Source organism: Homo sapiens, chromosome 4, assembly GCF_000001405.40.
Source record: "Homo sapiens chromosome 4, GRCh38.p14 Primary Assembly".
NCBI lineage: Eukaryota > Metazoa > Chordata > Mammalia > Primates > Hominidae > Homo > Homo sapiens.
The window spans coordinates 13,895,423-13,909,193 of NC_000004.12; the positions used below are offsets into that span (position 1 = coordinate 13,895,423).

Consider the following 13,771-nt stretch of genomic DNA (forward strand, 5'->3'; position numbering starts at 1 on the left):
TCACCAAACTCAAGGTCACCTCAGTACTTTTCTTTGTTATCTTCTTAGTTTTGCACTTTCTTTAGATCTATGCTTCATTTAGAGTTAATTTATGTAAAAAGTATAAGATCTGTGATTTATGTATTTATTTTTGCATGTAGATGTCCAGTTGTTTTAGCACCATTTGTTGAAAAGACTACCTTTTTTCATTGAATTGCCTTTGCTCTTTTGTCAAAGATCAGTTGACTATATTTGTTTGGGCCTGTTTCTGGGCTATATATTCTGTTTCATTCACCTGTTTGTCAATTCTTTTACCAAAACAATAATGTCCTGATGGCTGTACAAGCTTTACCGTAAGTGTTGGAGTTGGGTAGTGCCAGTCCTTGACTTTGTTCTTCTTCAGTATTTTATAGGCTACTTTGAGTCTTTAGCCTTTCCATATAGTTTAGAATCATTTTCTCAATATCCACAAAATAACTTGCTAGAATTTTGATTAGGACTGTTTTGAATTTGTTAAGAAGATTGACATCTTATCCATGTCATCATTGGGAAGAATTGACATCTTATCATCTCCTATCCATGAACATGGTTTATCTCTCTAATTACTTAGATGTTTGATTTCTTCTGTCAGAATTTTATAGTTTTCTTCATATATATCTTGTGCATATTTTGTTAGATTTATATCTAAGAATTTTAGTTTTTTGGGTGCTATTGTAAACGGTGTTCTATCTATAATTTCAAATTCCAATTGATCATTGCTGGTATACAGATTTATTTATTCCTGTCAGAAAAAAATAACCCTCCACACAAGCTTAAATTGCCCTAGTGCAAATAACACCTCACCAGAGACTGAAGGTTAATTCTCATCCAAAGTCTGATTCCTTCAGTCCCATCAGGAGTTTATTTATCCTATGCTTAAATATTGTCTATGATGAACCCTTCACTCTTTCTCAAGGTAATGCATTGTCTCTAGGACAACGTTGTTGTTAGATGGTTTTTTTCTTATACCTGATTTCTTGAGGATAAGTGATAGCTTAATTATAAAACAACAAAGATAGATGTGTTCCATGTAAACCACTTAATCTTCATCCTTATATCTCCTTCAGATAACATCAAGTCAAGGCTCTCTTAGCATTGGTGAAGCAGGGGAGGCTGCTGTGCTGTGGGGTCCCATGAGCTGAGTTATCATATGTTGGCTACTAACTGCAAGCCAAATGCCTGACTTTAGGTCTGAATTTGTCACTCATTAGCTGAGTAACTTTGGGCAAGCTCCAACATTTTCCAGTTTCTTGATTTTTAGAAATGAGAAAATTAATACCCTCACAGGGCTGTTGTAAGAAAGAAGCAACATAGTGACCATGAAAGCAGTTTTTAAACCAAACTGTTCAGTGGAAGCATAATTTTAACTCATTATCCTCTACTTCACAGTCACCACTCAGAATCATAAATTATCAGATGTACAGAGTAAGAAGGGTAGAGAGGGAAGGGCAGAGAATGAAGTAGAGTTGACATGCTCATAGTGAACCCAGAAAACAATATTCCCCAACTTTGAGTGTCATAGCTGAAGAAAACTTAAACATTATGTAATTTAACCACTTTGTTTCATAGATGAGAAAACTGAGCCCTGACGAGGGAAACAAATTGCCCAAATTCAAGAGCCAGGCTATTTAATTGCTGAACTAAGAAAGGATCTATTCTGACTCTAAGACCAGTGCTTTTTCTCCTTGTTCACGTGACAAAAGAAATGCCTGAATGTTCCATTTCAGACTGCGCCTCTTACCATACCCTCCTCTCTCTTCCTTGATCATGGAACATATGGCTTTCTCACCAAAGCTCTCATTGTAAGAAATTGGGAAATGGATTACATGATAAGTATGCCTTCCCCACAAAAACCAACCAGCTGCTCATCTTTGAGAGAGAGGCATTCTTTTAGGCTCAAGCAAGCCAAGAGGAGCAAAGGCCCTCACATTGTACTTTAATTTCTACTGATCAAAAGAAAAAAAATTTACTTAGGTGGACAAAGCAGGATTTCTTAGTTATGATTGTGGGATAAGAGATACAAATGCTTTATGTAAATTAAAATTCAAATATTCTGAAAATAAATAAAAGAATTTTCTGAAATGGAAGGGGCCAGGTTCCACATGTAGTAAACATTTACTTTATATTTCTCACAGCCTGGTGTTGTAGACTTCTGCATTTCATAAGCATCTACCTCCAAGAGCTGTGCAACCCCGGGCTTGATGCCTGTGATTTTACCATATCTATGATAGTGGTGATAATGATGTGTACCTGTAGATTAAATGAGAAGACACCTACAAAGCCCACAGCACAGGGCCTTGTAGAACATGAGGCATGGTGCCATAGTGAATCCTGAAATGGGGATTTGTGAGCTCATAGGCCTCAAGCTCTGGAGTCAGATACATATGGAATTATGGGCAAGTGTAGCAGACACTGTTGGTTGCCTTCCTAGAGATATCAGTTCTCTCCACTTCCTTCTTCCTCAACCGTGTTCTGGTACCTGCTCTCTCCTCATCATGTGCTGTTTTAGGAGGGATTGCACACCTTTTCCAGGCCCTAGGGTGGGTCCGAATTGGTCTAAACTGATCTTGGTGGTTCCCATTCCCCTGGGCAGTGATTAGCTTAGGTCTGGGCATGTGATGCAATTTTGGCCAGTAAGATCTAAGAAGTTGGCTAGGGGACTTTCAGGAAAGGGTTTCTAGCTCTTAAAATAAGACATTGCTGTGGGTGGAATTTTGTCTTTCCCAAAAATGTGTTCAATCCTAACCCCTGGTACCTGTGAATATGACCCTATTTGAAAATAGGGCCTTTACAGATGTAGTTGAGTTAAGGTAAGTTTATTCCAGAGTAAGGTGTGGCCTAAATCCATTATGATTGGTATCCTTATAATGAGAGAAGAGACAGAAGGACATACACGCAGAGAAAAAGCAATTGGAAAGAGATTGGAGTGATGCATTTACAATGCAAAAAACGTCAAGGATTGCTAGTCATCTCTAGAGCCTAAGAAGAGGCAAGGAATCTCCTTCTCTAGAGGTATCAGAGGGAGTCTGGCCCCGCTGACACCTTGATTTCAGACTCCCAGCTTCCAGAATCATGAGAAAATAAATTTCTGTTGTTTTAGGCCATCCAGTTTGTCCAGTTTATGGCACTTTGTTATGGCAGCCCTAGGAAACTAATACAGGCACAAAGAAAATATGTGCCCTTGGTCTCTCCCTTTGGATTTTTTATGTCTGGATGAAGCTCTTGAAACTTCCATAGCCCGGTTGTAGCTCTGTGGACCAAACTTGAAGATTATGGTGACTCTCTGGGGCTGGCAGGATGAAAGGTTGAAAATAACCCAGGTGTGAAGTCACTGAATTCACAAATCCTAAAGCTGTCTCCCTCTGTTCTTCCTGTTGTGTCCGATAATGCATCTCACTCATTGTTCGAGCCATGCTGAGTTGATTTTTCTGTTACTTTCAGACAAAATAATTCTGATTCAGAAAGTTATTCTCTCTCTGTCCCTCATTTCCTCATCTGTAACATAACAATGCTATAGTACCTAGTCCATAGGATTTTTTGTGACAAATAAATAAAATAGAGAATCATCCAGGTATTTTTCTCTTTATCTAATTTTTGCCACAGTGCATGATAAATTCAATACCTGCCAGCTACTACTATTATTCTGTTTCTTCAGATTTAACTTGTAGTGAACATTCAGTAAATATTTGTTTTTGAATGAATGAATGAATGAGGTCACTGTAATGCAAAAGGGAATATAGAGATGCTAATAAGGACAAAGCAAATTGCAATATGAGAGATGGAAAGATTTATCCTGGACCCTGGCTCCAAATCAAGACCTGGGGGCTACATATGGCCTGGGTCAGGTTGGTGAGGACTCACTCCTGGCAAGTCTGGCATTTTTATGCAGGGAGCTTTGAATTTAAAAATACCTATTGGGGTTTGCAGATAATCTAGGTTGTGGGATAGGCAGGAAGAAGTGAGGCTCAGAAACTGCCTTCCAAAGCCCCCCAGGTTGAGGCCTCAGCCCGACTGCACAAGGATTAAGGAGAAAGAAGTCAGGAGCTTTGTTACATCTCCGAGTTAAGGAAAAGGGCTTTCATTTTGCCTGAGGGAGAGCAACTGACTGTTTCTCCCAAAGACCTTGTTTGAAATTAAGGTCTTGGAACACTGGATTCAATTAACTACCAGTTTAAGAACCTTGGGGAATCTAACTTGCCATGTGCTTCATTTTCCCTTACAAATCACCTCCTGTTTCCTTGCCTTCATATTTCTCCCACCTGCAGAGAATTCTGTACTCAGGACTAGGTCAAGACCAGCTTCCTTTTCCTGAGTTAAAAGTGAGGAATACTGGGCAGGCTTTGCCTTCAGTGTCAATTTTACTGTCAGCTTGGCCTATAATCAAGTTCTTGAGGAAACACACATACACACACACACACACACACACACACACACACACACACACACACACACACAAATCCAATCTGGGACTATGCAGAGTCAGAGATGGATTAGACAAAATCTTTGTCCTAAGGAACTCACAGTCTAGTGGGAGGAGAAAGAAAGATAAATTGATAAATGCCTCATTATTGGTAGATGCCATAAAATAATCATAGTACTTGTTAAATCAAGTTTAGCCTGAAGCTGCCTTCTTACATATTTTAAGTTCAGCCCAAGGTTTTCTCTGTACATCGTGAACTATAGCAACAGATGGTAGCCTACGCTTGTGCCAATCACCAAGTTTTGGCTAATCAAATGTAGCCAACGGTTGCAACTGTGTTCAAATAAGGCAAATGGTGAGCTGCAACCAATCCAGCTGTTTCTGTACCTTACTTCCATTTTCTGCAGTCACTTTCCTTTTTCTGTCCATAAATCTTCCACCACGTGGCTGCATTGGAGTCTCTGAGCCTACTCCTGCTCGGAAGGCTGCCTGATTCCTGAATCATTCATTGCTCAATTAAAATCCTTTACATTTAATTCAGCTGACATTTTTCTTTTGACATACTGAAGTCCACATGAAAATTGGAGAACACTGAAGAGAGGCTTAATTAGGAACTGGATGGTGTCAGGACAGGTTTCACAGAGAGGTGGTGCCTCATTCTGCTAAATTTTGCAGTGAGAGCAGGAGTTTGTCAGGTGCAAGTCTGGATAAAAATACGTGTCAGCTGGGAGTTAACTGAGATTCTACACTGTGAGGGGCACAAAATATCTCTAAAGCAAACGGGAATGAGGTTCCAGTTGGCCTAGGCTTCTACCTGTGGTTCCTGTTGTGCTTGGAGGAACGCACCTTGCTTTTCCTCTTATTTGATGAATATAATGAAAGCCTTATTTTGCATTTACTATATTATAAACAATTAGAAGTTCTGTTTTCTAGTCAAAACACAGTCTTCATCCTTAATATGCTGTGTGGCTTTTGACCCTTGAAACAGTATTAAGAAGTGGGAGGTAAGCACATTTAGGGTAGAAGAACAGACAGAGCTCATTAATCTGCATTGAAGAGGCAGAGACAGATCCAAGAGGGCTGCCGTAGTGGGAACGGGAGCTGGGGAAGAGTTGGGAGAAGGCCCAGCATTGCTCTGGCTCAGAAAATATGCCTTCAAGGAGAGACTTGTGGAATGGAGCTATTTTCTATGACATGCGATGTTCCATGTGACATGAATGCCCTCCTCCATCATCTCTGTGATGTTGAGTAGATTCTCCTTGGTCACCGATACACTTATAGGAGTGGTGTGTTTCAAAGGAGCTTAAATAAGAAAGTGACATAGTAATTGATATGTTATTTACTGACCTAAGAAAGAATGTATGTACTTAACATTTAAGTGAATAGAAAAGTATTTTCTCTTCACTGATGCCAAATAGATATTGAAATATGTTTAAGAATAGCAGCTTACAGTAAGGCCAGCCACCTATTTCTTTTTTCCAAGTGCAGGGAATAAGATGCATGAAGGCCCAGAGGTGTGGCCCTCCCTTTGGAGACTAGCCCGTGGTTTGGTGGAGCTGGAACAGTGAATGTGAGTTTGAGTGGGTGGAAGGTGATGGAGGAGAGATGGGCAGGAGCTGGATCATGAAGGTGCATGAATGCCTTGTAGAAAGGTTTCTGTTTCTTCCAGTGGACTCTCATAGATTGTAAAGAGCTACTGAGGAGTCTCTATTTATCCAATAGAGTCTTAGAGATCATGGGAAACTATATCAGAAGCAGTATAATGGGATCATTTGTACTACTCAATTTTTTCAGAGGGGATTTTGAGGTCTGAGAGTGGACATATTTCTGCCCAAGGTCATTCAGTGAAGTGTGACAGAGTTAACTTATATTGAGCTATATTTGTTATGCCGTAGTTCCTCCCTATCTCTTCTCTAAGGTAAATAACAGAAAAGAGTGTAAGGCCTACCATAGTGAAGGTGTGGCCTGGGGAGCTAAAAGATAGTTAGGCTGATATGGGTTTGAGTTCCAACCCATCACTTGTTGTTAGCTGTGAAACCTCAAGTGAGTTTCTCAGTCTTTCTGAGAACCCTGAATAATAGAGATTTTTAGCTGAAAAATGAGAATGGTAATGCACATAATACTGTGGAGATTTTGTGAGAATTAGAGAGCATCACACATGTAATTATTTATCACAATGCCTAGTACATAATTCATATGGATTTCAGTCTACCTATTTGTTTGAATTCTTTTCTTTGGAGTCACAGTGTCTTTCTTTGCATATGAACATATCTGAAACACCGGAACACAACATTTGCCCTCTCCATTCCCACTTCTTACTCTTCTCTTACACAGTCTGAGCATCAATTATGGACCATATAACTGAGTGTGCACCCTCTTCCCATTGAAAAGTCCCTTCTCTCCCTTAAAGTAGGAGCACAGATTGAGTAACATAGTGCCTATTGGGGACTAATCCATGCTGAGTTAACTCAAAGGCTAGTTCTCTCATGTATGGTGATACATAAAACAAGAATCTGCTGAGCAGTGTCTTCCCCCCCCAACACAGAGGCTCTAGGAGGGTCAAATAGGTCTCAGAGTGTTGTCCCATGGGCACAAAGGAAGAATACAGTGGACTGGAGACACATTGTGAATACAGCACTATTATTATTCTCTGCTCTGGAAATGAACCCAGTAGGCGCTTCTTTGTCAGACCCTATAGGCAAACCTTCCCTGAAAGAAGAGCCTTTCCTCAAATTTCTTGTCCAGACTTACAGAGCTGTTATTATCCCAACAGTTTCTCAAGATAAATAGAAGGACTTAGACTCCAGAACGACTGTGTTGCTTGAGTCTATTAGCCCATATTTAAGATGGTGATTTTTAAATGGGCTTTTTAGAGTAATGCTTTGTCACTCATTATAGTGAAGCAAATACCCTCATCAAGTGTCAGCACCTGCTTGGAGAATGTATTTTAGCAGAGTAAATGTTACCTGTGAAGGTACTCAGAGAAAATTAGTATCACATACACACTTGTCTCAACTTCCTGGTCCGGCATTTTCCCCACTATCACTCTTTATATACGTTAATGCTCCAATCAAACTAAACTAGTTGCTCTCTTTGACAACTTTTGCTTTCTTTCATTTGTGGGTTACTGATACAGTTTTCTTAGCTTAGAATGCCTTTTTGCCCATTGATGCTTGTTCAATTCTATTTGTCTAGCATGAATCATCTCAAATCCTACCATTTCCAAGGAGTTTCTTTCTCAGCAAAGAAGAAATCATTTCTTCTTTCCCTGAACGTCCCTGATACTTTTTCCTGAACCTCTGTTAAGGCACTTACATGCCTCAGCACTCCTAAAGTGTAAGCTCCTTCAGGCCTGGACTTGCATCTTAACATCTGGGTGTTTTGCATCTTTGCGAGGCAATATAGCAGGAGGTCAAAGACATGGAGCCTGGGGTCAGGCTCCGGGATACACTCTGGGCTGTACTACTAACCAGCTGTGTGATCTTAGACAATTACTGGCATAGCATAATCACTCAACAATGTAAGCATTAACTGTTTATATTCTTCATAACACACAGGAAAGTGCATGGTATATCCATTCTGTGCTCAGTAAATGTTTATTGAATGAATACATAAAAAGGCAAATGAAAAGTAGTTCATCCTTGAATGTTTGTTGAATGAATGGATGAATGAATAATTTAATGGATTTGGAATAACATTTCTCAAGCACACTTCTTTCACAGAACCAAAAGAAACTGCTCTTTCCTAAACTCACTGTCCCATTAAATATTCCTCCCTTAGAACCATCTACCAACAAGATGATATGGCTTGTACAGTATTCTATTTTTATTTGTTTTAAGAGTGATTATGCTAAAGGGCTGCTTCAAACTTTTGCAGATTGAAGAAAGAGGATTACTTTCCTTGCCTGTGAATAGGGTTGGTTTCTCTAGAAGAGCAGAATGGAAGCACCTTCACCATTCTATACCAATGGAATTTCTGAGTGGACAAGCTGAAATTCAGTAATGTCTCCAAGCACTGTGGCTCTCCTTTCAAAATGAACTTCGAGGCTGCCAACCCTGCATGACATAGCCTACAGGCCACTCCACTCCCTCCCTGTTCTCATCAAACAAGAGAAGTTGCACAAGCTGGAGGGGCAGCTGGATCACAGTTTATGCTGCCCCCAGGATGCATCTTTCATCCTAATGGTGCTTATTCAGCTGTGGGGATGCATTGGTATCTAGCTGATTTTTGAAAAAGTGCAAAAGTCCATTTAAAAACACAACCAAATCCTCCTTTTGAGAGAGGCGCCTTGTGTGGGGGTGGGGAGGAAAAGGATGAGAAATTTTTCCGTCTTATTTTCTGATATTCTTTGCTTTGTAGGCGAATACTTACAGAGATGCCTGCAGGCGGTTTTCCAGAGTCCGTTTCTGACCAAAGTCAATAAAGCTCTTTCTCTATGTGGGAAGGAAGCTCTCTTTTAGACTACTTTCTTACTTTGTGCTTTCTTATGTAGATAAGTCATCTAAAAATCACACAGCCACAGGTCCTTATCTGTCAGGGCCTGGTAGCAGCACTAGTGGCATTTTTTTCATCCAATAAACATGAATTAAGTTATTTCTATAGTGCCAGGCACTGAGACAGCTATAAATTGGGGATAGAGGGATTCAGAGGAAAAGCTGCCCTTTCTATTTTTGTGTGTGTTTTCCTACTATGTGCCAGGTACAGTAACTTTTGTGTAATAGTAGTGAGAAAAAGCAATTTAAAAATCATTTCCATTTTATAGAAATTTAGAAGTGGAAACTCTGAGAAGTGAAATAATTTGCCTAAGATCATTCAGGAAGGTATTGAGTGTTTGAGCTGAGCTTTCTGATATTGGCCAGTAGAGAGAAGTGGAATAAAGAAGAAAGGGCACCTTGGGAAGAATTATTGGTATAACAAAAGCAGGGGGTGGTGATGGGGAGATGGGAGGGCCAGATCAGGTTCTGCAAAGAGTTTTGTGCATTGTCGTTTGAACCGTAATAAGAGAGAAGTTTGGATTGGGAGGAAAGCTTGATAACATGAAGCAAGGTTTGGAATATCAAGCTCTGCCAATGAAATTCATTCTTAAACACCTGGATTTATTCCTGTCAACAACAGTAATAGGTAAGACTGAGTTAATAAAGATAATCAAATAATCCATCAGTGATTTTTATTGTGTTTCTCCATGATAAAACCAGTGCGTACTCATTATAAACATTTTGGGAGTGTCAAAAAAAATAGAAAGAAAAAAATTGACCTTTGAGTTATTTCTCAGTGCAGCTACTATGCACCATTTTGTCTTTTTCCTTTAAGTTTTTTTTTCTTCCCTTCTAAATGCTTGGGTTGTTTGGTTTACATAATTATCAGTATAGTGTAAATAAAACTTAGTACCACTTTTCACTTACTTTGTAACATGTAACTTTTTTTTTTTACATGCTATAAGGTCTCTAAAATTTACATTTCATGATTATAATCCACTCATTGAATATACCACACTTAATATAAACAAGGCTTTAGAGTTGGATATTTAGTTGTTTTGTACTTTTCACACCTGATCAATAACATTTTGATGAAAATGTGCTTCAAGTTTTTCTAAAAATTCAAATAATTTATATAAGATGATTTTCCAGGAGTGCTGCTACTAAATGAAAGATCACATGTACTTTTCAGCTCTTCTGTCATAAAACCAATTTAAGTGTTTTGTTTTGTTTTGTTTTTGTTTTAGAGTACCAACAATTTGTCTGGTTATCTGCTAGGCTGACTCAAGAATCTTCATTCTAGTGAGATCGCTAAAAACAATATGAAATATCATAAAGTGCTGGTGATGAGGAATATTAGGAACCTGCGTCACGTATCATGATGAATCAGACTTTCTGCATCACGTATCGTGATGATTCATGACTTTCAGAGCTGGAAGGACCCTCAGAAAAGCATCCAGTCTTGGCCCAAAGCTGCAGATGGGCAAAGCATTTTACAGCAGGCAGCAAAGGCCAGGACAAAGCATGTATTGAGTAAATGGCAGAGCAGTTTTCAGATCTCTAAAATCATCACCTCTTGGTCATTTCTAGCATAAAAGTTCTATGGTACCAAGACTAGTCCTCTGGCTCTATCTGCTTAGACCTGGAATTCTTAGCATTTGATACAGCCCCATTTACAGGAGTATGGCACACTCCCTCAAATAAGTCAATCAATTCAGAGACAGTGTTCCGTCAGAATTTCCAATGGGAAGAGTTTGGTTTGCACCATGTTTGATAGGTTTGTTTTCCCACATATCCCACTCCCAATGTACCAAAAAATGTATCTACCTAGTCAACAAATACTTCTCCCTCTTCATGCTTTCCAAGCCTTTCTTGGGGAGATCACAGCCTCCCTCTATTCACTTCTTAGTAATCCAATCATAGTATCCCAATTATGACCAATAAGATATGAGGGGGAAACCTGCTGGGAAGCTGTTGGGAATACTTTTGTTCATAAAAAATTGTTACATGGAAAAGATATCTTCTTTTGCTGAATATTTTTGTGTCTGCACGTGGTGTCCAGAACTGCAGCAGCAACCTTGTGATCCAGAAGACAGTTAGGAAAATCTGTTGGGATTTCGTAGTAGAATAATGGGGGAAAAAACTGAGTTTCAAATGATGTCTTTGAGTTGATAAATTATATCTGAAGCCTCCCTACACCTCTTGTTATGTGGCAGAATTATTCCTCATTGTTTAAATGAGTTGATATTAAGCTTTCAATTATTTAAATCTCAAAGCATCTTTACTGCTATAGTATATGTGAATGATATCCTCAATCATGGGGCCAGCTCATCTAGATTGCCAGGGTACTGCATTAACAGCTTCTACTTTGGACAGGTGTGTGTTAAAAAATGCTCAGCTTTGCTCTCATCGCCTCAAGGAAATCTTTCTCATCCTCTGCCTAACCTTCAACTCCATTTGGTTTGGATGTTTCTCCTCTGAGCTTTCATAATAACCTCTTTGGTTTTATTGTATTAATGTTGTTTCTGTCTTCCCACTAAGCTTTGAGTTCTTTAAGGACAGCAACTGTTTTAGTCATCTCAGTAGCTCCACTCTTAGAATTCAAAATGGAAAACAAAATAAGTAAGTTATTCACCAGATTGCTGTGACTCTTTTCATTAAGGTATTAAGTGGTGTGTATGTGTGTGTGTGTGTGTGTGTGCGCGTATGGACATCCACATATGTGTTCATATCATTTTTATTAGAATTTGGTACCTTTACTCACTCATATGCCTGCTGTATTTTCTTTTCCTATCTCATTCACATAAGGCAGCATCTCTCATAAATGTAAACCAAACCTAGTTGACATGAAACTCCTATGCCCCCAAGGAAGACTTAAAACTGCTTGGAGTATCTTTTCTTGCTGGAAGGACAATTTGAAGAGTGTGTGGGTCATTGAAAGCAGGAGAGGGATGCCTGTTCATTCTGCTGAAAGACTTCTCATTATGCTACTGGCCACAAGGTGTCCATCTCTCAGTAGGAAGAATGCATAGCTTCTGGAGAGTGTGTCTTCCACCACCCCCAGCTCAAGGGACTTTGAGAAGTTGTTTAAGGATTGTGTAGGTGGCTTGAGACTCTATCCAAAGGAATAGGAATGTGTGATCTATAATAGTTACTCAATGACTAAGCTACAAGCATCACAAGGCCTGCAGATGACTAATAATTATTCTCATTCTACAGGGTATGGTTTGCAAAACAAAGTAAGCAAGGCCTCTGCTCTTTTGTCCTGTGAGTCATTCCTGTAAAATGAGTACCCTGGGCTCCAGTGGTAAGGTGCAGAGAGTACCAGGAATACTAGCTGGTATTTTCCACTTTTCTCCCTGCCTGCTCTATCCACCTATCTCCCCTACAGTCGCAGTCCTTTTGGGGCCACACTTCCCCTTGAAAGCCTTGAGGGGAGGCTGTGCTGTGCTGGGGTTAAGAATCCGACTTTGACTTCTAACATAGAGGCTCACATCTGGACTCCCTCATTCCCAGATGTGTGGCTTGGGCAAAAGACTTAGCTTCTCTGAGCTCCAGTGGTTCTCATTCTTAGGTGGAGATAATGAAGTAAGTTATAGAATTGTTATGGAAACTAATGGATATAAAGTGCTTAGTATACTGCCTTGGTGCAGACTAAGAGCCCAAGAAATGGTAATTATTATTAAGATTAGCTAAAAGTTTTCCTCAGGCTGTCTGCAAAGAGTGAAATAGCTGTACAATTTAGGGACTTTTTTAAAAAAAAAAACTTCTCTAATCTTTTGTTTACTCATCTTAAAAACCAATTATAATAATCTTTACCTTGCAGTTTTGTAGGCGAAGTACAGCAGGACATGGCAAAGTGTATGGCATAATGTAGTTCCTTTACACATACATATTTTTTCTTTTTTCTTTTCATGGTGGATGGAAGATTCCTTTGGTGTGTTCAAATTCCTAAAGTAGCTCTTTCAGGCCTTTATGGTAGAAGGTGTTAGTTCTTCAGCACTAACCCCAGAAGACTGGTTTCCTAACACTGGCATATACACTGATGCTGGGTATTTATCTGCCTTGGAAGATAAAAGGGGTTTGGGGTTTCTGAAAATGGCAGAGGCCTGGGCACTGTTGACATGTATTACCCTGGATAGGGTGTGGCCAGGTGCAAACCCACAGAGGCCAGACCCTGGGCAGTACAATTTAGAAGTAACATAGACAAGGTGATGTCTACAGGGCTCATTCCCAAATGTTCTGGGCCAGGAACTATGATGGTGTGCTTATTTAAGTGTAGAGAGGAGGAGGAGCCCCTCACTAATGACATCCACTGGGCTTCCTGCCATTCTTCCCACTGTGGGCTCACAGATGAACTTTACTCGATTTCGACTAATAAATGATGTGGCATTTTTTGGATGCTAATGTGGAATAAGTTCAAATTGAGTATATCTATAAGCAACAAGTAAGGTAGGGCCTACTCAGAAAGGCTTAATAAATGATAGCTAATATTATTCTTATTCTCTCTCAAAGAGAGATAGGGTTTCAGGCACAAAACTTGAGTGTGGATTTTGGAGTCAGAAGCAAGAATATCATTGTTGGCTCCATCAGTTACTGTCTTTGTTCTCTTAGGCAAGTCGTTAAACCCTCCCTTTGCTCATCTATATGGTTCAGATGTTAAGAGTCTCTTTCACAGAGTGTGGTTGGTCATAAGAGTTAAATGATGGAATCAAGTCTAGCTTGTATAATTGATTGATAGTTGTTATTATTAACACTACCATGATTGTATAGTAGCTGTTGAGGGAAGCTTTGTGCTTTTCACATTACAGTTCCTGAAGATCAGTGTAGAAAGGTAAGAGTTCAAGACCATCAATTC

The 13,771-nt window shown here is 39.5% G+C and overlaps 2 long non-coding RNA genes across 2 annotated transcripts in view, besides 2 other annotated features; both read left to right on the plus strand.

Annotated features, from left to right (window-relative positions):
• The window catches only part of LINC01182 (long intergenic non-protein coding RNA 1182), a 276,050-nt gene that overhangs the window by 240,244 nt on the left and 22,035 nt on the right, over positions 1–13,771 (plus strand). The gene's annotated exons all lie outside the window — the stretch shown is intronic.
• The window catches only part of LOC107986182 (uncharacterized), a 103,624-nt gene that overhangs the window by 62,548 nt on the left and 27,305 nt on the right, over positions 1–13,771 (plus strand). The gene's annotated exons all lie outside the window — the stretch shown is intronic.
• Positions 9,650–10,849: an enhancer, noted in NCBI's record as "P300/CBP strongly-dependent group 1 enhancer chr4:13906696-13907895 (GRCh37/hg19 assembly coordinates)". NCBI's record gives its function as "activates an origin of replication core promoter dependent on BRD2, BRD4, P300/CBP, MED14 and CDK7 cofactors, with strong dependence on P300/CBP, by STARR-seq in HCT116 cells {active_cell/tissue: HCT116}" and the evidence as "EXISTENCE:reporter gene assay evidence [ECO:0000049][PMID:35650434]".
• Positions 11,544–12,743: an enhancer, noted in NCBI's record as "CDK7 strongly-dependent group 2 enhancer chr4:13908590-13909789 (GRCh37/hg19 assembly coordinates)". NCBI's record gives its function as "activates an origin of replication core promoter dependent on BRD2, BRD4, P300/CBP, MED14 and CDK7 cofactors, with strong dependence on CDK7, by STARR-seq in HCT116 cells {active_cell/tissue: HCT116}" and the evidence as "EXISTENCE:reporter gene assay evidence [ECO:0000049][PMID:35650434]".